Source organism: Homo sapiens, chromosome 7 (genome assembly GCF_000001405.40).
Source record: "Homo sapiens chromosome 7, GRCh38.p14 Primary Assembly".
In the NCBI taxonomy this organism is placed as follows: Eukaryota; Metazoa; Chordata; class Mammalia; order Primates; family Hominidae; genus Homo; species Homo sapiens.
In genome coordinates this window covers 141,185,558-141,210,630 of record NC_000007.14, presented here as the reverse complement: position 1 = coordinate 141,210,630, position 25,073 = coordinate 141,185,558, and the positions used below count along the sequence as shown (strand labels likewise).

The 25,073-nt window shown below is 45.9% G+C and overlaps 1 protein-coding gene across 4 annotated transcripts in view, besides 1 other annotated feature; it reads right to left on the bottom strand.

Moving 5' to 3' along the window:
* Positions 1-25,073, bottom strand: part of TMEM178B (transmembrane protein 178B) — a 437,233-nt gene that overhangs the window by 300,666 nt on the left and 111,494 nt on the right. The gene's annotated exons all lie outside the window — the stretch shown is intronic.
* Positions 9,419-9,944: an enhancer, noted in NCBI's record as "H3K4me1 hESC enhancer chr7:140900487-140901012 (GRCh37/hg19 assembly coordinates)". NCBI's record gives its function as "activates a minimal SCP1, AML or CMV promoter by ChIP-STARR-seq in primed H9 embryonic stem cells {active_cell/tissue: H9 hESC(primed)}" and the evidence as "EXISTENCE:reporter gene assay evidence [ECO:0000049][PMID:30033119]".

The following is a 25,073-nucleotide window of genomic DNA, read 5'->3' as shown; positions in this document are numbered from 1 at the left end:
AGGGTTTCCAGCACACCTGGAACCTATTTATGGGTTCTGGACTTATTCCACCAGTGGGAAACTCTGTTATTGATATCATCTCATTTAATCATTTAATCCATTCTACAGCCACATTAAGTAGGCATTGCCATCCTCATCCCTATTTTTTTAATTTTTATTGATTGACTGATTGAGAGTTTTGCTCTTGTTGCCCAGGTTGGAGTGCAATGGCGCGATCTCGGCTCACCACAACCTCCGCCTCCCGGGTTCAAGCAATTCTCCTGCCTCAGCCCCCAAGTAGCTGGGATTACAAGCATGTGCCACCACATCCAGCTAATTTTGTATTTTTGGTAGAGATGGGGTTTCTCCGTGTTGGTCAGGCTGGTCTTGAACTCCCGACCTCAGGTGATCCACCCGCCTCGGCCTCCCAAAGTGCTGGGATTACAGGCATGAGCCACCGCATCCAGCCCCTCATCCCTATTTTTTAATGAGAAAGTGGAGGCATGAGGAGATTAAATGACTCACCCAAGGAGGTAGCAGTGCCAAGATTAAAACCCAGGACTGTCTAACCAGAGAGCCTCCTCTACCAGGCCACCCTCCCATGTGGAGTGTATTCTATAAAGGAAAATGTGATAATGTCACACCCCGTTCACAGGCCCTCTGTTGGCCTCTTACACACAGTATAAACCCTACACTCCTCAGGCATAAAGTCCCAGCTCCCTTCAGGCCCCAGCCTTCACATACCCCAGGCTCCAGCTAGGTGAACCTCCCACCTTACCCTGAATATGCCATATTCACTCCTGACTTAGCATCTATTCTCCTTCCTGCCTTTCTTTCCCTTAGGATGAGTAAACATCTACTCATCCTAAGAGATGGCTCAAATGACAGTTCCTCAGCAAAGCCTTCCTTGCATCTAGATTGCACCCCAGCAGCAGGCGTTCCACCAGCAGCTTCCCTGCTTCTGTCCTTCCTGCAGCAAACACACTCCTGCACTGTGATTTATCTGTTTACATGCCTCACTCCCCAACTAGATTATGAGTTTCTCAAGGGCAGGGATGTTGTCTTATTCATTCATCTTTATCTTCCCAGCCCCTAGCACAAGGTAAGCACCAATAACATGTGCTTTGAGGAAAGAAATGAATAATACGAGGTGTTCTTTGTAAGACTGCAGTGGGCAAAGAATCCAACCGCTTTTATTACATGCAAGGAATTAAAATAATTGAGGCAAATTAGAATCTAATGAATTAAAGGAGGCGATTGTTGCAGAACTCTGTGAGTCTATAGCAAATACCTCTTCCCTGCCTGGACAATACAAGGAGAGGCTTATTAATCACAGTGAGGTAGAAGAAAATGGCATATGATCACAGAACAGTGTCTCAATGTACTTGGTAAATGTAGCCCCGGGGCAACTAGGTCAATGGTTTTGGGGAAAAAAGGAATCAAAGAAAGAGGAAAGGAAGATATAAAGGGTAGAAGGTTGTAACAAGAATACCATCATGCCTTGGACATGTGCAGTTGGGCAGGTTGTGTCCTGCACAATGGCACTTCCCAGGGATACCTGGGCACTGAAACCCAGCTGCTGCTCTGCTGGCCAAGGCTTGCACCCTGCTGGAGGGTGTTGGGGGCTGCCCCTGCCAGAAGGTCTGCCTTTGTCTCACTTGCACAATGCTGCCTTACGAGCTAGCAGCAGCCCTACCTACAATAATTTCAAGATTCAACAAAACACCTCCAAGACCCAGCCTTGGGACACAAAACCAGGTCCCACTGGGAATGGCCAGATTGGTGACTCCCTCTTGTGTGAGGAAAGTACCTGATTTCTTAGCTCAGGTCAGATTCTCTCAGCCTCAACAGAAACTCAACAAGTTGCCACTGGTTCCAGGCAGGCTGGAGCCAGCTCCTTTAACCTCCTCCAACCGCAGCCCAGCCAGCCAGAGAGGGAAGAGGCCCTTGACATTCAGCAAGAGCAAGAAGCCAACCCACAGGCACTGCAGGTGACTGGCTAGGGAGCCTGCCTGGAGCAGCCACCACAGCCCCGCTTCAGGCCCTCGCTATTTGCTTTGCCTGGGGGATTGCAAGCATCCTGCCTCTGACAGCAATCAAATTTGAAAGATTCAAATATTGCCTAAAAAGAAAAGCAAAATATTTATCCATGTGTCTGCAGGTCCTGTCAGTGTGCTGGGCTTTTGTAAATACAGGAACCATCTGGGCACCAAATAAGTAGGCCCAGAATGTGGGCTGCCTAATACAAACAGGTTTTCCTGCAGCACACAATGCAGAGGGGCTACCTGGAAGGAAGGACAAACCCTTCTTCACCAAACTCCTGCATCCCAGCCCAGAGTCTCTGCTCTCCCTCTAGAAGCCTCAGGTGGGGGAGGACTGGCTGGTTGAGATCCCAGGGGTGGCTCCTTCCTGTGGCCCCTGTGGGAGACTTATTTATTTATTTATTTATTTATTTAAAAGAGACTGGGTCTCACTATGTCACCCAGGCTGGCATGCAGTGGCGTAATCATCGCTTACTACAGCCTGGAACTCCTGGGCTCAAGTGATTCTCCCACCTCAGCCTCTGCAATAGCTGTGACTACAGGCACATGCCACCATGTCCAGTTAATTTTTTTTTATTTTTAGTAGAGATGGGGGTCTCACTATATTGCCCAGGCTGGTCTCAAACTCTTAGGCTCAAGCGATCTGCCCACCTCAGTCTCCTAAATTGCTGGGATTATAGGCACAAGCCACCGCACCTGGCCTTTTCTTATGTTTTGTAGAGATGGGGTCTCACTATGTTGCTCAGGCTGGTCTCAGATTCCTGTGCTCAAGTGATCCTTCCACCTCTTCCTCCCAAAGTGCTAGGAGTACAGGCGTGAACCACCATCCCTGGACTGGTGGGACACTTTAAACCCTCAGTCATGCTCTGCCTTCTGAGCTAGTGACCCCTCCTGCCCATATGTCAGGGTCATAGCAAGACACAGGTAATTAAGGAGAGTTTCAAAAAAGGACAATTTAACCCAACAGCAAAAGAACAACCTGATTAAAAAATGGGGAAAGGATTTGAACAGACATTTCTCCAAAGGCAATGACATTCAAATGACCAACAGGAAAAGATGCCCAACATCACTAATCATCAGGGAAATGCGAATTGAAACTACAAGGGGATATCACCTCATACCTGTTAGGATGGCTATTATCAAAATAAATAAATAAGTAAATCATATTGGCGAGGAGGCGGAGAAAGCGAAACTCTTGCATGCTATTGGTGGGAATGTAAATCAGTGCAGCCACTGTGGGGCTCAGTATGGTGGTTCCTCAAAAAATTACGAATGATCCAGCAATCTTACTCCTGGGCATATATCCAAAACAATTGAAATCACTATCTCAAAGAGATATCTGCACTCCCATGTTCATTGCAGCATTATTCACAATAGCCAAAACATACAAGCAACCTAAATGTCCATCAGCAGATGAAGGATAAGGGAAAGCTGTATCCATGCGATATGCAATATTGCATCCCTACAATGCCATATAATCGGTCTTTAAAAAGAAGGGAAGCTTGCTGCATGCAACAACCATAGATTAACCTAGACATTATGCTAAGTGAATAAGCCAGTCACAGAAGGGCAAATACTGCATGATTCCACTTATATGAATTCTCTAAACTAGTCAAACTCATAGAAATAGAGAGGAGAATGGTAGTTGCCAGGGGCTGGAGAGTGGGAGAAATGGGGAGATTCCATTCAACAGATACAAATTTCAGTTGTGCAAGATAAATAAGAGATCTGCTATATAACCTTATGCCTATAGTTAATAATACTATTATACACTCGAAAATCTGTTAAGAGGGTAGATCTCATGTTAAATGTCCTTACTACATTAACAGCAAAACAGGGAGAGCAATTTACAAAGCTAAACACAGAGTATGAAGAGACCAGTGAAGGATGGTGTAAAGGACCCGGGGCTGGCAACAGAAGTAGCTGGTATGACCCCAAGGCCTGGAGGGGCAGAGGAGCAAGCTGTCACCAGGACCTGGCAAGGGCGGCCATATGGACAGAGATGATGCGGCCTTTGGCAGAGAGTCACAGCCAACCTGTGGTGAGGTGGCAGGGAAGAAACACCCAACCTCTCATTGCTCCAACCTTCAATCTCCCGTCAGTTCCTCCCTGTAGCACAACCCAAACTAGAAGCCAGAGGGTAGGTCAACCTCCAGGAGCTCAGAGCAGGTGCAGAAGACAGAGGCCAGGTTGGAAAGGCAGACAAAACATCCAGCTCATTCCTCTCTTTCTCCAGGGCTCTTCCTCTCACATCTCCCCTCGCTCTTCCACTTCCAAATGCATCACTCTAGCTTCCACTTAGTCCAATGCTAGCACATTCTTCCTTCCTAGAGGTCCCTGGTGGCAAAGGGAGACATGGGGAAGCATCAATGGGAAGAGACTGTTCCATTACTTTTTCTCCATCTCAAGTCTTCTAAGACCCAAACATAGCATGACAACTCACATCAAGTACTAAGTGTGGTCCCTGCACTTAGTAAGTGCTCAATAAATATTAGTTATTCTTATCAGTTGCTGTCCTAAGACTACTTTAAGGGGACATGAACACAGGAACTCAGAAATAATATTACTGAAATGTTTGCATCATGCTATAAACACAGATCTATGTCTATCAAGTATAAATTTTCCCACACAGTAGCCCCAGGAGGCTGGTGGAGCAAGAGCTCTGATGTATGGAAACAGAGACCAAGGAAGGGAGGGTGCCAGAGATGGCACAGAAACTGCGTGCAGTGACACTGAATTCTGAAGTCTGGTCACACCTACAGCAATGCCAGCAGGCAGTTTTTCTCCCACATGTATCAGCTCTCAGCAATCCAGGGTTTCCTAAGTGCTTGTCAAAGAAGTCTATCACTCAAGGGTAATATATATTAAGCAGGGCCCTTCTAGGCAGAGTGGTTTTAGAGGCAGTGCTGGGACCTAAGTTCAGCCCATCTAAAATTATCTTCCCTAAACAAATGCTGTAGTACTTTATATCTCCATTACAGAGTCATTCCTTTGGATCAAATATTGTTCTCCTTGACACCCATTGTTAAAGCTCTTGTAAATAAGTCTGAAGGGCTGAGATCCCAGATCCCCTTCCTCCAGAGGGAGGGCCCCTCAGCTACAGAGGATGCCTAGAGAGCAAAGATGCTGAGAAGGGATGAAGCACCGAAGGCAAAGGCAAGGCCCTAAACTACTCACAACGGCACCTGGGCACCTGGTGCTGACAGGGTGGCCGAGGAAGAATTGGAATGTGGGAACTCTCTCCACCCATCACTTTACAAGTGGTGAGGTAGGATTGGAACGTGATGGCCCAATGTATTTAGGAGAGGTTGGGTTAAACAAAGTATAAACAGCTTCCTTATTGCAGGACTTTAAGAGTTTTTAATATACATTGTGACTGCCCCAAAAAGGGACAGTTACAGCAGATTTTCCTAGACTACTTTATTCCCAAATCCTTTTTTATTCAAAGAGCAGTTTCCAGCACTAGACAGAGTTTATCGAAATCAGTCGAAGTGCCATGGCTCAGCCTGTAATCCCAGGACTTTGGGAGGCCAAAGTGGAAGGATCGCTTGAGGCCAGGAGTTCAAGACGAACCTGGGCAATAGAGTGAGACCCCGTCTCTATAAAAAAAAACTTTTAAAAATTAGCCGAGTGTGGTGTTGCACACCTGTGGTCTTAGCTACTCAAAAGGCTGGGGTGGGAGGACTGCTTGAGGCCAGGAGTTTGAGGCTTCAGTGAGCTGTGATCACACCACCACACTCCAGCCTGGGTGACAGAGCAAGATCCTGTCTCTTAAAAAAAAGTCAGAAGCCATTTCTTTTGTTTACATTCGCACAGCAAAGGGCACATAGGAAGCCCTGAGTTATATTTGGATGAGTGAAAAATAGATATCAAGGCCTGCTATTTGATCAAATGATCTACTAGGTAAATTGAGTAATGGCTCCAAGTATCTGCTGCTCTCTTCTCCGAAGCCATATCTGAGAGCTACCAGCAAAGCCAAACCAGGGTTGAATTCCCACCCACAAGCTGTATTTACACAATGTCTTAAAATGAGTCTGGAATCTTTGTGGACAAAACTAGTGCAATTGCCCTCAGTGTCCTGTGCCACATCCCCTCCGTTCACCTCCGATTCCGGCTGAAGCTGCAGTGGACGCTCCTGGGAAAGCTGATAGTGCCCACAGCAAGCACCCAGCAGCCCTCCCTACCTCCACTCCCTTCCCAAGTCCACTGAGCCCACGCTGAGCAACTATGGGAAAGCAGCTCTCAACTAAGGGGGTGACAGGGGTGGCAGATGGAGAGCAACAGCCCCGTCCTTTGGGAGAGTAATTATGAGATGCTTTCTCACAGTCCCTCAGAGGGTCCCCCTGGAATTGAACCTGACGCTCACAGTAGTCACTGGCTCAACCTCACCTTCTTGACTGGCTTCCCCTCTTTCCAGTCTCACGCTTCCAGCTCCTGCCCACCTGCTTCCCTCAGAGTCCCTGTCACAAGCTCTACTTTTGGAAGAACCCAAACTAAGAACAATGACTTAGAGGAGTGTAGCAGACAGGTTTACATGCTTGAAAAACGAACTGGTACAATTTAGTCTTGCGGTTACTTTGAAGGGTCCTATCAGCACTGTTGGATGAGGCAGGCTTTCTCTTCCTTTTTGGTTCTCCCAAGGCCCTTTCCTCTCTTGGTATTCACCCATCTACAGGCAAAGGGATAGACTCTATTAGTCCAGGACACACTACTGGACCACTTCTGAGAGTCCGTGTGTTTCCTCCATCCCAGAGTTCCTTTTTTTAAAACAAACAAAAATCTATTCAATGCCGACCACATGCCAGAGGCTCCCGTATTATCTCATGCTGTCCCCATGACAACCTCAGGAAGGGGTATTCTAGGACCAGCCCTGTTTCACAAAAGAGGCTTCCAGGCCTTCATCTGTGCCAGCCAGGGGAAAAGCTGGGATGCAGAGTCTGGCCTTACTAACCCAGGTATGTGCTTTCCAGTGTGAGTGCAGCAGTTTCAGACACCACGGCTACAAGGATTCACTGTTGGGTGGAAGATTTGCTGGGAACAAGGGTTATTTTTGCAGCCACAGTGCCTTGTACATGGAAGGAACTCAATACATCCACTGATGAGGAAAGAAAGAAAGGGAGGAAGGGACATCGTCCATGTCCTATATGTTGCTCACCTTTCCACGGTGACAATGTCTGGAGTGTCCAGCCCACGTGGGGTCTCCAAGTGGCACATGCTGGCCTCTGCCCACCACAGTGTCAGCCTTTAGGACTTGACGCTGTCTCACCCAATGGGCTGACAGTTCTTAGACTTTCTAGCCCGAGGCCTGGCTAATCCCCTGCACTTAATATATGGAAGATTAAATCAAAAGTAGAAAGAGCACATGGAAAAAAACCACCAACAAAAAAAGACAAAACCAGTTAGAGATTTAAGGCTCAGGCTTCGTCTCCTCTTTAAAGAGCATTTTCTCAAAAAAGAAAAAAGTGAAAATAACATCTTAGCAGGGAGATTTTTCTTTAGCACATTAAGAAGGCCATTTATCAGATGCATTCGCATTATCACATTGGATTCTTTAGAAGACCACGAGAGTTGGGTGGAGGAACACAGGAGTCTAGGGGCTTAAAGATTGGAGATTAAAAGGGAAACTTGGTCGGTGATGAAAGGTGCAGGAAGCAAACCAGGAATATTCTGGGGCTTCCAAGTGGGCAAACCATGCTGGTGGTTCCCACACCCCCCACAGCCCTGTCCCCAAATGGGGCAGAAATGGGAGAGGTGGAGAAGGCACACCCTTGGCAACCTCCACCAAGACCGGCAATGTTGACAGGAGCTCTCCCTATTTAAAAGGCAACTCTTCACAAAAGCTTATTTCAAGAAATCTCCACACCCCACCTCCCCCACGTCTTCTCTTTAGCGCCTTCTGCTCCTCCCAGATGTTCTGAGTCCAAGGATTTGCAAGGCTTATAGCTGCTGCAGGCCCAGCCAGAAAGAAGGTTTTATTTTCTTCATACTAAGGAAAAGTGTTATCTACGTTTTTATTTTCAATGCTTTCAAATGCATTCCATTTTGTATGCTTTGTTTTTTTGTACTGCCATATCAATGTGGCCTTTTAATGTTGTTTTGTATGCATTGCGTAGACTGAGTTCTAAATATTTAATTTCTTTCCATTCTATGTTACATAAATGTTTGTTATGAGAGGTGCTCAGGGGACCCTCCTCATTACACACATGGAATTTCATTTTCAAAACCTGTCACCCACCCGCCCACCCGACCATCATGTTTCTGACCCCCTTACCTTGCCCCTAAACACCTTCTGCTGGTTCTATTGCAACACATTTATTATATATTCATCAGGTATTTCTATCTATGGTAAAAGCTCTGAGATAGAGGAGCTTGTGTTTTTCACCTTTGTGGTCCTGATGGTCAAAATGATGCTTTGAGTACTGTTATTCATTTTAACAATAGCTTCTGTTTAATGAATACTTTCTGTGTATTAGGTACTGTGCACAGAACTGTTTTATTCATTTGTTTAATGCTAAAAGGTGCATTATTATCCCCACTCATATATGAAGACTGAGAAGCTTAGAGACGTATCCTTATCAAAAGTGCATAGCTATTAGGTGGCAGAGGTGGCATTCAAATCCACCTAACACACTCTTAAGTACGCCTGCCACACATGTCAAAAGAACTTGGGAAATACCAGTCTCTTCTGAAAGAAAGCAGGAGATCTTCCAAGGTTTTATATTGGAAACATATAAAGTAAAACTTTTCCATTTGCAGGGATTTTCAGCACCTACAGACTCTACTGCTCTTATCAGAGTAAGACAAAATGTTTGCTTCCATAGCTCCCTTAACAAGCTGGAGAGAAGATAGCTCCTCAGTAACACAGAGCACAGAAGTGAAGGAGAGCTCAGAGTGCTCACTAGCCCGCATCTGACGTCTTAAGTCTCAGCTACATTCCTGTCCCCATTCCCAGGACAAGCCACTTACCAGCAGGAGTCTTTGGGGCTCACCCTCTCAAAGCCTCTATTTCATCATCTGCAAAATACTGATGGTAATAATAGCACACACCTCAGAAAACAGATGAGGAATAAATGAGATAACCCATGTAAAACCTGCTCCATGGTGAGCCTTCAATAAAATCCCCTTCCCATACAACAGCCCATAAATATTTAAAGACAATGATCATGCCCCTCCCCACCCACAAGTCTCCTTTTCTTCCAGCTGAACACTTCCCGGCTCCCCCAACCACACAGTCACACTGGCCATCCTCCAGGTTCAGTCTGCGGTTGAGAATCTTTCCCAGGGTCACACGGAGCACTGAGCACAGTCACTCCTGTGCCCAGTCAGACCTGTGCAAACCCAGTAGGGCCACCGGCTCCCAGGTCTGGTGTCACAGCTCTGGCCATGTGGCCTGGCCTCCTCTTAGCTTTGTGGGCTGCTGTGTGCCGGTGCTGTCACCCGAGGGGATGGCGCCGACGTGGTTTCCTCCAACAAAGCTATTAAGCCAACTCTGCCCCTTCATGTGCACGGGAAGTTGTCCTTTCTCATTTTTCAGTTTTTTTTAATATTTTGGTTTGTTACCTCAGTGTAGGATCTTCTATTTGTTCCAGCCCCTGAAAAAAATTTTGGATCGTGATTCTGTCATTCTACAAATTAGCAATTAGTCCCACATGCTGCATCAGCAGGCCATCCCCATCCTCGCCAAGCCATTGCTAAAATCTTTCCACAGGGCGGTGCTGGAGGCAGAACTCTACCCAAACACACACACAAAGCCTTGTCATGACCCAAAATCAAGCAGTTAGGAGAAAGCACTTTGGGTGCCATCATTCCGCTGCCAGGAACTCAGCTCCCTCCCTGATCTGCCTCCGTACGTTCCTCTTTTGGCCACCTGGATGTCATGAGAGACCTTGCCCACACTGTTCACCCCTATCAGTATGTCTAAGAACCGTATCCAAAAAGGGAATGAGGTCAGCTTGGCATGGCTTGTTCACTCTGCCGGCATCACCACTTTCTCACTGTGTGCTCACCCACCATCTGTTTAATAAGCCTTTTGGACAGCTTTCCAGGGCTCCCTCTAACTGGGCTGCTTGTCCATATTCACGGAATCCCCTGATAGTGCTCTCTTTCATTGAAAATCTAGACACCGGTCACCTGCCTCCAGGCTCACAGCACTTTTCATTCCACAGCTCCTTCAAGCCATCCTGTCTCCCCCCGCAACCAGGACAGACCCACTAAAAAAACCACCTCTCAGCCCCACTAGAAAAACCACCTCTGAAAAACCATGTCCCCTACAACCAGGACAGCCCACTAGAAAAATCACCGTTGCATTCCACAGCTCCCTTAAGCCATCCTGTCTCCCCCGGCAACCAGGACAGGCCCACTAGAAAGCCACCTCTACCTATGCTTCCACATCATCTGGTGGTCAGCATTCCAACTAAGAAATAAAAATGGGCCAGGCACAGTGGCTCACACCCACCATCCTAAGACTTTGGCAAGCCGAGGCGGGAGAATCACTTGAGCCCAGGGGTTCAAGACCAGCCTGGGCAACATAGAGAGATCCTGTCTACAAATTTTTTTTTTGAGACAGAGTCTCACTCTGTTGCCCAGGCTGGGGTGCAGTGACACTATCTCAGCTCACTGCAAGCTCCGCCTCCTGGGTTCACACCATTCTTGTGCCTCAGCCTCCCAAGTAGCTGGGACTATAGGCACCCGCCACTACGCCCAGCTAATTTTTTGTATTTTTAGTAGAGATGGGGTTTCACCGTGTTAGCCAGGATGGTCTCGATCTCCTGACCTCGTGACCCACCTGCCTCGGCCTCCCAAAGTGCTGGGATTACAGGCGTGAGCCACTGCGCCCTGCCAAAAAAATTTTTTTTATTTAGCCAGGCATGGTGGCCTGCACCTGTAGTTTCAGCTTCTTGGAGGCTGAGGCAAGAGGATGGCTTGAGCCCAGGAGTTCATGGTTAAAGTGACCTATGATGGCACCATGGCACTCCAGCCTAAGTGATAGAGCAAGACCTGTCTCAAAGAAGAAAAGAGAGAGAGAGAGAAGAGGAAGGAAAAAGGAAGCAAAGGAGAAAGGAAGAAAATAAGCGAGGAATAAAGAGAGAGAAGCAGCCTCCCCACTGGGGGACCACCAGGCACCTCTCCCACTACAACGGATGGAGATCTTCCCCAAATTATGCCGATGGCTTCCATTCCTCTGCCTTATCATTGCATTTGCTAACCAGGTTCTTTTCATTCCTTTATCAAGAGACTCTTTTTCTTAACTAAAGTACCTACTAGGTTGCCATTACTACTAATGGCAGAAACCGCAATTACTTTTGCAGCAACCTATAACATTTCACAGTCTTCTGTTGTAAAGGTCACCTCATCTTTAGTGGGAGCTACCACCTTTTTATCCTAATTCCTTTTTTCCTGCATTCTGAATGCCTTTGCCCCTTTTCTGAGTTTTTTTGCATGTTTTGAACAAGACATTTTTAAATGTCATTACATAGCCGCTTCTTCACAAGAGGAAATAAAGAATGAGCTGTCTCCGTCTGTGCCCCTCATGGCCCATCCTGCCTGCGTGTTTTTGGCTGCTTTTTCCCCACTTCGCTCATGTATTTTCCAGCCTGAAACAGACTTCTTGGGAAAGAATGAGAAGGTGAGGTATGGCTTTAGATTACCATCTGGTGTGTAGTAAATAATCTATCCCTTATTCCCATCACATCCCTAATGACCTTTGGGAAAGTTCAGAGCCGCGAGCTGCCACCACCCTGCCTGCGGCCCCACACGCCCGGTGCAGACACCCGGCGCAGCTCCTCCAGGTACAGTTTCAGCCAGGGGAAGAATCATTCATCTCCAGGCTCTGACAGACAAACGAGGCGAGAAGGAGACCAGATCTGGTTTTTCACTGGAAAACAATGAGCTCATGCTTTCTCTCTGGGGACCCAGGAAGTGGAGACAGATCTGGAGATGGGAGACAGTGATGGAGGCAGGCAGGGGCGATGAAGGATGGGCCAGCAAGGGGAAGGAGGCCAGTCTGGCACTTTTTTAATGTCACTTTTGATAAGAATCCCCAGCTCTCAGGCCAGAGGGAAACATCCATTTTCTTTAAATTAAGGATTCAGCATGAGGCAGTTGTCCTAAAGGAAAGGGACAAAGAGAAGATAAACAGACTTGGAAATTCGTCATTCCTGCTTCTTCAGAGAAAAGTAAAATGATTGTTCATGAGTCACCAGAATTGCAGATGCCAGGACAGAGATGGCTTTCCTGGGCTCTGCCGCTGCCACCTCTGGGTGTGGCTTTGGGACCTGATGGCAGACACTCTGCTGGCCAGCTTCTCCCCAGTCAAGTCTGCCTCCCCCAGGTATGCACCTCCAGAAGGCCAAGGCCAGGCATTTCCTACAGACTGAGCTCAATAAAAATGAGAGGATTCAAACAGCCACACAGATGCTTCCAAACAGCTGAATGAATGTTTAGTTTCAGCTAGGGAAAAAAAAATGCATATCACTGAGTTTTCCACTTTTCCTTTGAAAAAGGAGTTACATAATGCTGATTTTCCTTTTTACCAGTTAATTCAGAGAGAGAGAGGGAAAGAAGAGATTAGGGAAGAACTGGGGGGAACTGAGTTGTACTTGAGAAACACAATTCAGATGATTGACTATTTTCCTCTTCAACCTGTTATATGCCTTAGCTAAAACTTGAATGGAAACTGGCAGGGTGCGGTGGCTCATGCCTGTAATCCCAGCACTGTGGGAGGCCGAGGTTGGTGGATCACCTGAGGTCAGGAGTTCGAGACCAGCTTGGCCATCATGGTGAAACCCCATCTCTACTAAAAACACAAAAAATTAGCCAGGTGTGGTGGTGCATGCCTATAATCCAGCTACTTGGGAGGCTGAGGCAGGAGAATCACTTGAACCCAGGAGGTGGAGGTTACAGTGAGCCAAGATCGCACCACTGCACTCCAGCCTAGGCAAGACAGTGAGACTCCATCTCAAAAACAAAAAACAAAAAACTTGAATGGAAACTAAAGATCACAGACAGAATGTAGAAACCCCAAATAGATGAATTATGTTTCTCTTTATACCTCTGTCTACTCACAAAATTGATTATTTCCGTGTTTAAGTTAAATGGCTTGGCTAGATTACAGATGTTAATTAAAGGGTTAACTTATCCTGACTCCCTAGTTGCAATGAAATTCAAAAACAGAACTGAAAAAAGGAAGAGCAACTTATTCACTCTTTTCCTCCTGTGTCCTGCAGCACTATGCAGAATAAAGAACATGGGTGCTGGAACCAATTTGCCATGGGTTCTAATCCTGGCTTTAAGAATCCCTAGATATGGGATCTTGGCCAAATTAATGAAGCCCTCTCTCTATACCCAAGTGTCTTTATCTTAAAATGCTGTGGTGCAAGTATCTACCCCCTTAGGGATATTGTGAGAATTCAATAAGTTCATACAGGGAAAGCACTTTGTGCCTGGTATGTCATAAGCAATCCATAATTGTTATAGCTATTGTTATACTATGGCACCATTTGGGACACAGATTATATATGTCAGACACCACGAATGTCCTTTAAGATATGCAGCAAGCACAAATCTGTCATGGTTTAACAAAAGAAATGAACGTCTAGGAGACAGCTTCCTATCATCCTGTCTTCTTCTGGCCTCAGTTACTGACCTCAGTTTCTTTCTCAGCCATGTTGCTGGCATCTCACCCCATCCCCACTCACAGCCCAAGGCAGCATCTCCCATTACACTGTAACCCTAGCTGTGTCCTACTATCCTACTCCTGGCTCAAGGACTGAGCCTACTGTGCCCTGATTTCCAGGCCCCTTGAAGACCAATTACACCAATGAGCTTCTCCAGCACATCTCCTCCACACATGCACGAGATCCCCAAGACATGAAAGCAGAAACATGGCTGCAGCTGCTCAGCACCAAATATAGTTTGATATTCGACGCACCCAGGGGAGTCACGATTTAGGACTCACCTTTGACCTGCAAGGGTTATATGGGTTAGTTAAACAAGTGTCCCCTAACCCCCAACCCTTAGCTCTAACCTGATGAGTCCAAGCCAAGATGGAATTAACTATTTTTTAACTTTCAGAAACGCTGCTCCACATTCCACTTCCCAATCACAACAGCAAACCTAACAGATTATATCAAGACTTGGTAAAGACAGGGGAAATAGAAACTTCCAGACACTGTTATTTAGAATACAAGTTGTTCCAAACACTTGACAAAATCAAGTAGAAATGTATATGTCCTATGGCCCACATTTACAGCCCCTCAACAAACTCCTACATGTGTGGCTGAGGAGGACATATATACAAGGATATTCAATACAGCATTGCTTGCAAAAAAGAGTGAAAACCAAATATCCAAAAAAAGAGTAAAAACCAGAAAAAAGTGGAAAAGTAAAAGGTGGTCACATTCACATGATAGAATATTATAGAGTCATTAAAATAAATGAAATAGAACTGTGTGTGTGTGTGCATGTGTGTGTGTGTATAGTGACAGATCTCAAAATATAATATTAAAAGCAAATAGAACTGCACATTGATACGTACAGTATCATACTGATATGCTTTGGCTGTGTCCCCACTCAAATCTCAACTTGAATTGTATCTCCCAGAACTCCCATGTGTTGTGGGAGGGACCCAGGGGGAGGTAATTGAATCATGGGATCCGGTCTTTCCTGTGCTATTCTTGTGATAGTGAGTAAGTCTCATGAGATTTCATGGGTTTACTGGGGGCTTCTGCTTTTGCTTCTTCCTCATTTTCTCTTGCTGCTGCCACGTAAGAAGTGCCTTTCGCCTCCTGCTATGATTCTGAGGCCTCCCCAGCCATGTGGAACTGTAAGTTCAATGAAATCTCTTTTTCTTCCCAGTCTTGGGTATGTCTTTATCAGCAGTGTGAAAATGAACTAATACAGTAAATTGGTACCAGTAGAGTGGGGTGTTGCTGAAAAGATACCTGAAAATGTGGAAGCAACTTTGGAACTGGGTAATAGGCAGAGGCTGGAACAGTTTGGAGGGCTCAGAAGAAGACAGGAAAATGTGGGAAAGTTTAGAACTTTCTAGAGACTTGTTGAATGGCTTTGCCCAAAATGCCGATAGTGATATGAACAATAAGGTCCACGCTGAGGTGGTCTCAGATGGAGATAAGGAACTTCTTGGGAACTGGAGTAAAGGTGACTCCTGTTATGTTTTAGCAAAGAGACTGGCAGAATTTTGGCCCTGCCTGAGAGATTTGTGGAACTTTGAACTTGAGAAAGATAACTTAGGGTATCTGGTGGAAGAAATTTCTAAGCAGCAAAGCATTCAAGAGGTGACTTGGGTACTGCTAAAGGCATTCAGTTTTATGAGGAAAGCAGAGCATAAAAGTTTGGAAAATTTGCAGCCTAACTATGCGATAGAAAAGAAAAACCCATTTTCTGGGGAGAAATTCAAGCCAGCTGCAGAAATGTGCATAAACAGCAAAGAGCCTAATGTTAATCCACAAGACCATGGGGAAAATGTCTCCAGGCCATGTCAGAGATCTTCATGGCAGCCCCTCCCATCACAGGCCTGGAGGCCCAAGAAGAAAAAGTGGTTTCATGGGCCAGGCCCAGGGTCCCCGTGCTGTGTGCAGCCTAGGGACTTGGTGCCCTGTGTCCCAGCCACTCCAGCTGTGGTTGATGTACAGGTTGGGTGTGGCTTCAGTGGGTGGAAGCCCCAAGCCTTGGCAGCTTCCACGTGGTGTTGAGCCTGTGGGTGCACAGACATCAAGAATTGAGGTTGGGGAACCTGCACCTAGACTTCAGAAGATGTGTGGAAATGCCTGGATGCCCAGGCAAAAGTTTGCTGCAGGGGTGGGGCCCTCATGGAGAACCTCTGCTAGGGCAGTGTGTAAGGGAAATGTGGGGTCAGAGACCCCATACAGAGTCTCTACTGGGGCACGCCTAGTGGAGCTGTGAGAAGAGGGCCACCATCCTCCAGAACCCAGAATAGTAGATCCACCGACAGCTTGCATCGTGCACCTAGAAAAGCTGCAGACACTAAACACCAGCCCAGGAAAGCTGCTGGTGGGGAGGCTGTAACCTGCAAAGCCACAGGGGCGGAGCTTCCCAAATCCATGGGAACCCACCTCTAGCATCAACATGACCTGGATGTGAGACATGGAGTCAAAGGAGATCATTTTGGAGCTTTAACATTTGACTGCCCTGCTGGATTTCAGACTTGGGTGGACCCTGTAGCCCTTGTTTTGGCCAATTTCTCCCATTTGAAATGGCTGTTTTTAGCCAATACTTGTATCCCATTGTATCTAGGAAGTAACTAGCTTGCTTTTGATTTTACAGGCTCATAGGCAGAAGAGACTTGTGTTGTCTCAGATGAGACTTTGGGCTGTGGACTTTTGGGTAATTGCTGAAATAAGACTTTGGGGGACTGCTGGGAAGGCATGATTGGTTTTGAAATGTGAGGACATGAGATTTGAAGAGGCCAGGGGTGGAATGATATGGTTTGGCTGTGTCCCCACCCAAATCTCAACTTGAATTGTATCTCCCAGAACTCCCAGGTGTTATGAGAGGGCCCCAGGGGGAGGTAATTGAATCATGGGGTCTGGTCTTTCCCATGCTATTCTTGTGATAGTGAATATGTCTCACGAGATCTGATGGGTTTATCAGGGGGTTCTGCTTTTGCTTCTCCCTCATTTTTTCTTGTTGCTGCCAAGTAAGAAGTATATGAGGTGGCCTGAGGCCAGCCTACAAGGCCCGGAATGGCAATATGAGGAGTCTGCACCTCACTCAACAGGAAACAGAAGTACTTTGAGGGCCAGAACTGGGCAGGGTCCTGCAGGGGGCCCTTGGAACTGGCAGCAGGGCATTCAGGGAAGGACCTGGGCTGGGGCTGTTGTGCTTGTCCAGGCACCAGAGTTGGGGCCTGAGTATGGCTGCAGACATGGGTAGGGTGGATGCACAGGAGCCCATCCAGTCTACTCTTGGCTTCCAGGTCCCCTTGAAGTTGACTGCTCCTTGCAGGAATGGGCTCGGCCTAGGCCTCCCTGCACACTGTGCTTGCCCTTCTCCTGCAGCACAGTCCAACAGCCACTCTCACTTCCCAAACATAAGAGCTAAGAGATGGCAAGTGGGTACCCCCTGGGACCCCAGGCATCCAGACAGAGTGAGTGGAGAGGAGCAACTCGTGCTGATGGAGTCACCTGACCCTGGAAGGGCTGCCCAACTCCTCTGCATAAGCACATTATTCCCATGACTCCAGGGGTCCCTTAGGTTTTGCATTCAGGGCCTCTCTGAAATCAGAAGCCAGCACACAGGAGCAGAGAGAGATAAGACAGACAGCTGTCTCTTATCTAGTTTTGCAAGGCCTCAGGTTGCCACTCCATTCACTGTGGTGAACAGAACTGGTGCTGCACGAGCCTGGCCAGGAAGTCTTCTCAGGGGAACTCAGGATCCCAAAAGCGCAGCCAAGAGCAGGGATGGTTTAGCAGAAGGGCTGGAGGCAGAGGATGCTAGGGCCACCGCCTCATAGGAGAAGCAGGCTGCAGGGGCAGGGCTTGACTGGAGGATGGGCAGAGGAGTTGGAGGTAAGCAGAGACCATGGCCAGAGTGGAACAATTAGATAGAGGGCATGGGCAGCTAACATTGGAGAAATTTCCATTTTCCTACATTTTTTCCTGCTTACAGAAGATGGAATACATTAAGATTTTTAAAATAAAAATAAATATCAAATCATAAGATGCCTCCCCCCTGGGAATTAGGACTTCAAAACGCACATCGCAGAGATGTTTATGGAATAAAGTGGCAGATATGAAACCACCAAAGCAAGTGATGTCTAAGTACTGAAACAGACTGAAGTAAACACCTAAAAATGAAGACCACTGGCTGGGCACAGTGGCTCACGCCTGTAATCCCAGCACTTTGGGAGGCTGAGCTGGGTGGATCACCTAAGGTCAGAAGATCGAGACCATCCTGGCTAACATGGTGAAACCCCATCTCTACTACAAATACAAAAAATTAGTCGGGTGTGGTGGCAAGCGCCTGTAGTCGCAGCTATTCGGGAGGCTGGGGCAAGAGCTTGGCAACGAGCCAAGATCGCCCCACTGCACTCCAGCCTGGGCGACAGAGTGAGACTCTGTCTCAAAAAAAAAAAAAAAAGACCGCTGCATGGAGAGTCCCCATTCCTTCCCATCTCTCAACCCAAGTTGTAGCAGCTCCCAGTTAGCTCCTGGAACATCTGCCTTGGTGCTTTTTTCTGCTGGACCAGCCACCCCCACCTCTCCCTTCCCCAGGTACATGGCCTATCTCCCCCTCCACACCCTGACGGTCCTTATCTAACCTCTGGTGTCTCTGCTGATCTTGGTCACTCCCTGCAGACCTGGAGCCCTCTGCCTGTCCTCTCTCTATAGCTACTTGGTGCTTCTTTCCCAGTAGGGCTCTGCCTCTCTCTGTTGCCTAGGTGATAGAAGAACTGGGCCAGAATTCAGAAAATCCAGCTCAATTTAAAATATGGGAATTTACTATATAGTAATAGTGGCATCTCAAATCAGTAAGGGAAATGATGGTTTATTTAATAAATGATATTCAGTAAACTGGATAGCCCTCTGGGAAAAATAAGATAAAATTGAAGGCACACCTTGCACCTTAAACCAGGGTAAATTCCCAATGGATCAAATATTTGTTTGGAAAAATTTAAGTCACAAAGCATTGGAAGAAAACAGGATTAAAACCTTTTTATAGCCCAAAAGAAAGAAAGCCTTTGTAACTATAACCCAAAATCCAAAAAAGAAAATACTGATAAATTTGAATACGTAAAAATACAAAATTTCACATAGCAAAACCTACCATAAGCAAAATCAAAAAACAAACTAAGAGGAGTACTTGCAACTCACATCACAAAGAACTCATTTGCTGCAAAGATTAAAAAAGCACCTACAACTGATAAGAAAAAGATCAACCAATACAATTTAAAAATGAGCAAAAGATATGAACAGAAAGTTCATGAAAATACAAATGTTACTTAAACATATGAAAAGATACTCAAGAGCACTCAAAATAAGACAGCTACAGATTAAATCTACACTGAATGCCATTTGTAACTATCATTCTGGCCAAGGCCCGGAAGCAAGGTTGATGGCAGTGGTGAGATGTGGAGAACCAGACACTGTCGTGAGTGGCCGTTGGAGTGTAAATTTCATAAATTTGTTCAGCCTCTCTAGAGGGCAATCCATCAGGATCTCTCAAAATTACAAAGCCTCAATTTGACCCAGAAATTCCACAGTTAGTAATTTCTCCAAGAGATGTTTCACAGGTGTGAAATGACAGATGTACAAGGTTATTCATTGCCACTTTGCTCATAAGAGCAACCTAAATTTCCATCAATAGGAGAATGAATAAATTATGGTACATGCATGCAATGGAAGGCAATACAGCCACTTAAAAATAGACAAGACGCTTTAGAAACTGATATGGAAAGCCTTACCAGATAAACTAAATGAAAATAAGCAAGGTGTAATATATACGATAAGTTCTTACTTAATGTCATTGATAGGCTCCTGGAAACTGGCTTTAAGCGAAATGATGTATAATGAAACCAGTTATTTTTTCTCATCAGTATTATAATGAAACAATGTTATTCAAGGACCTGATGTATGTTGCTTCACTTAAAATTGCAGTTTCCAAGAACCTATTGACGATGTTAAGTGAGGACTCAGTATACCACATTTATGTAAAAAAAAGGGAAAGAGGTGACAAATATAAATATAGATGAATAGGTATATGCTTGCCTATGCATAAAACATCTCTGGATGCAAACTAGTAATATTGGTTGTCTACAGAAGGATACTTGGGAGTTTGCGAAAATGAGAGGGAAAGAAACACTGCTTGTACAGATGGTCCCCAACTTAAGATACTTTGACTTAGATTGTTCAACTTTACCATGGTGTGAAAGTGATAGACATTCAGTAGAAACCATATGTCAAGTGCCCATACGACCAACTTGTTTTTCACTTTCAATACAGTATTCAGTAAATTACATGAGCTGGGCATGGTGGCTCCTGCCTGTAATCCGAACACCTTGAGAGGCCGAGGTGGGAGGATCACTCGAGCCCAGGAGTTCAAGACCAGCCTGGGCAACATAGAGAGCCTTCATCTCTATATAAAAAAAAAAAAATTAGCCACAGTGGCACATGACTGTAGTCCCAGCTACTTGGGAGACTGAAGCATGGGGATTTCTTGAGCCCAGGAGGTCAAGGCTACAGTGAGCTGTGATCACACCCCTGTACTCCAGCCTGGGCAACAGAACAAGACCCTGTCTAAAAGAAAAAAAAAACAAAAGTTACACGAGATATCCAACACTTTGTTATAAAATAGGCCTTGTGTTAGATGATTTTGCCCAACTGCAGGCTAATGTAAGTATTCTGAGCACACTTAAGGTAGGCTAAGCTAAGCTATGATGTTTGGTAGGTTAGGTATATTAAGTGCATTTTCTACTGCTGTTATTTTCAACTTATGATGGGTTGATCAGGACAAAACCTTGTCGTAAGCCAAGGAACATCTGTTTATCCTTTTATGCTTTTAAGACATTAAACCATGTGAATGTATTGCCTATTTTTTAAATGTTGATTATAATGCTAAAAAACAAAACAAGGTGAAGTTAAAATCATAAAAAAGAATATGGGTCTGTTTCAGCTCTGCCCAGGATGATGTGGGGATGGCCAATTCCCCTCTCTGAACCTCAGACTCTGAGCCCTGCCCTTCAGGGTTCCACACGCACAGCTACACAGGGCCCAGCAGCCCTGGTGGTTCTTGGTCGAGACCATCCAGTTTCTGGTACTCAGAGCCCTCCTCTCCCCACAACTTTGGCCACCCCTCTCTAAACTCCAAGGCAGGGCTGACCTTTCCTAGAGAGACGTTAGAATGGCCGACACAGTCAGGATGCTGCTCATGCTGATGTGGGAGCCAGCTCTGTCACTGCCACCACGAACTCTGCCCTGACCTTGTATACCAGTCGCCCTGACCTTATATACCAGACTGGGTAACTGGGCCTCTGCTTTATTCTCCCATGACCAGGGCCTGACTGTGATGACCGCTTCAGTCACCAGTTTCCCTAAGCTGAGGACTCCACCTTCTGGATTCCTGGCCTCAGATGAACTTCAGAGGCTTGGTCCCTGGCTGCCAGACCTAGGAATTGACCCAATAGTCTACAAGCTGCCCTTACATTCCTGCTGCTCTGCCCATCTGCTATCTGCCCGCCCACCAGCATCGGCCCACAGGCCAGGCTCAGCTATTCATTCCTGACACCAGAGTGCCCTGGAAGGGTTTCCTCTACTCTGGGTGCCCCTGCAGCCACTGCATGGGAAAGTTCTGCCTTCACTCAATGCTTCACGTGGCCAATCCATTAGAGCTTTGCTCTTGGAAACAGGCCTTCAAGTCTTTCCCTCTGGCTACATTCTAGCACAATGCAGTGAGGGATTCTCTTTTGTCATTTGATGTTCATTCTGGGTTATATTCAAACAGCTCAGAAAGCCTCTTATGATGTCCAGGTACCACAGCTGTCTGAAAGATGAAACATGGCTTCATTGTAGACCTTCAGAGCTACACTGGCTCCACCACTCTGTCTTTCCAAAGGACACTGTGACCTCCTCGGTTTGGGCCTGATTCCTTGTCAACTAATTCAGCATCAGGCCATGTGGCCTTGGACCTTCCTCAGGCGGCTGGATTCAGGGACACCTTCTAGCTCAGCATTACCAATGAATAACGCTGGCTCTTTTCAGGGTTTCTCAGGTTTGGGTAAGTCTGTGACCTTGATTCTCTCCAGGCTTATCTTCAATCCGCAGTGCATCCCAGACTTTGCAAAGCAGCCTGTAATTTTTGTGTGTCCTCTCGTGTGAGTACCTCAAGGTCACAATCACCAGCACAGAGCAATCAGCTCTCAAATGACTGTCTTAATGGATGTTGTTTGCAGCTTATCCTAACTAGAATGTAAGCTTATTTCTGTTTTATCTCCTCATAACACCTAGGGAAGCACAAGGCCTGAATACAGATGTAGAACATACAGGAAAAAAGTTTGGGACTGGAAGTCAGGAAGCTAGATCTGTCTCTCACTTGCTCATTGTGTATAACTGGGCAAGTCTCTTGACTTCTTGCTGACTCAGTTTCGTCCTACATCCAATAAGAGCAGTTACGCAAGTTGAGTATTTGCACAGGAAGTGTTTTGGATTTTGGATCTTTTCAGATTTTTGAAACACTTGCATTATACTCACCATTGAGCCTTCCTAATCCAAAAATCCAAAACCTGAAATGCTCCAATGAGCATTTCCTTTGAGTGTCTTCAGATTTTGGATAATTTCAGATTTTTGCATTTTTGGATTAGGGATGCTCAACCCATACCTACTTCAAGGGGTGGTTGTGATGATCCAATGAGTTCGGGCGTGTGAAGATGTGGGTTTAGCCATTACACACAACACAGGAGCTAAAGAGATTGATATACTGAAAGTCACTTTAAAAACATCCCTTGCTTACACCTTATACAAAAATTAATTCAAGATGGATTAAAGACTTAAATGTTAGACCTAAAACCATAAAAACCCTAGAAGAAAACCTAGGCAATACCATTCAGGACATAGGCATGGGCAAGGACTTCATGTCTAAAACACCAAAAGCAATGGCAACAAAAGACAAAATTGACAAATGGGATCTAATTAAACTAAAGAGCTTCTGCACAGCAAAAGAAACTATCATCAGAGTGAACAGGCAACCTACAGAATGGGAGAAAATTTTTGCAACCTACTCATCTGACAAAGGGCTAATATCCAGAATCTACAATGAACTCAAACAAATTTACAAGAAAAAAACAAACAACCCCATCAAAAAGTGGGCGAAGGATATAAACATACACTTCTCAAAAGAAGACATTTATGCAGCCAAACAACACATGAAAAAATGCTCATCATCACTGGCCATCAGAGAAATGCAAATCAAAACCACAATGAGATACCATCTCACACCAGTTAGAATGGCGATCATGAAAAAGTTAGGAAACAACAGGTGCTGGAGAGGATGTGGAGAAATAAGAACACTTTTACACTGTTGGTGGGACTGTAAACTAGTTCAACCATTGTGGAAGTCAGTGTGGCGATTCCTCAGGGATCTAGAACTAGAAATACCATTTGACCCAGCCATCCCATTACTGGGTATATACCCAAAGGATTATAAATCATGCTGCTACAAAGACACATGCACACGTATGTTTATAGCGGCACTATTCATAATAGCAAAGACTTGGAACCAACCTAAATGTCCAATAACGATAGACTGGATTAAGAAAATGTGGCACATATACACCATGGAATACTATGCAGCCATAAAAAATGATGAGCTCATGTCCTTTGTAGGGACATGGATGAAACTGGAAACCATCATTCTCAGCAAACTATCACAAGGACAAAAAACCAAACACCACATGTTCTCACTCATAGGTGGGAATTGAACAATGAGAACACATGGACACAGGAAGGGGAACATCACACACCAGGGACTGTTGTGGGGTGGGGGGAGGGGGGAGGGATAGCATTAGGAGATATACCTAATGCTAAATGACGAGTTAATGTGTGCAGCACACCAACATGGCACATGTATACATATGTAACAAACCTGCACGTTGTGCACATGTACCCTAGAACTTAAAGTATAATAATAATAAAATTTTTAAAAAAAGCATCATCTCAAAGAAGCTTCTCTAGGAGAAACAGGCTCTGTGCCATCCACATGGATTTGTGCTGCTCCACTGTGCCAGATACCAGGTGACCCCTAAGACACTGCAGGGCCAACAGCCCTGGTGAAAAGGCAGCCACATTGTTAGTAGCCACTGGTGGGGCTACTCACCGTCCCTGGGAATCAAGAGACCCACTCACATAACAGTTTTCACAGTTCCATCCCCTAGAAACTAGAGAAGCATGCCTTGGCCACCCATGCCATATGGCCCAGCACAAGATGTTGAACGAGGCTGATCAAATCCTCTCTCAAGTGAAGATGATGCCAGAAACACTGAAAGAATGCAGCTGAAGTGAAGAGGGGACTATAAGATTAAGCTGGTGTCAAGGAAAACAAACAACATCAATAAAATGAAATAAATAAAATGTAGGTTAAGGCAGGAGGGAGATGGACAAGGAAGAAGCTAAGTAGAGACAGCGGATGGGGAAGGAGGAGCAGAGGCCCCGAGAGGAAGGGCAGGATGGGGCTGCTGCAGTTTACACCCCTGCCAGGCATGCCATGCAAATCCACCCTCTTTACTTCACATAATCTTTGTGGGTTTCCTGATGTCAAACCAAACAGACTTGGTACCCTAAAAATGCATCCAACTTTCAAAACACAACTCCCTCTCTGGACCAGGGCTATTGGCACCACCTGCTTGGTTCTTGGCACCCACTGGACCTTCTAGGATTAGCTCTGGTTTCCTATCCATGACCTTGACTCTTTAACTATACACTGAACCTGCTACAAGTTGATAATGGCTTTCTCTCCACCCTAACACATACACACCCCTACCCAAACCCCATTTTTCTTTTTTATAGTATCAAGTCACAGTGGGCAGGAAAGGTGGTAAGTTACTAAGGATCTAGAAGGTTTCAAGAAATTGAAGTTTCAAAAGGAGAGAATTCTCAGGAGGAGCCGATCAAGGACCAAAGTCCACATTAATATCACAATTAAGTTCATCTACAGAGATCTGCTCTGTGCAGGTCTCTGATTGAGGCATTTAATATCAGCTCCCCAGAAAAGCCCTGAATGCAACATCTTAACAGCCTAAGCCATGACTGTGATATGGAAAGGGGGAAGGGAAGTGCTGGGTAGAGGAGGGCATGGTCCCTGGTTAGGGCTCCACCCCCACGGACCGAGGTGAGGACTGGCATTTTTGTTTGTCTGCCCAAATGCTGCATTTTCCAAGACGACCCTGGCCTGCCACACCCCCATCCTGTGCCTATAAAAACCCCAGAGACCCTAGCCAGAAGACACACAAGCAGCTGGACGTCGAGAGGAACGTATCTGCGGAAGAAGACACAAGCAGCTGGAGATAGGAGAAAACACATTGGT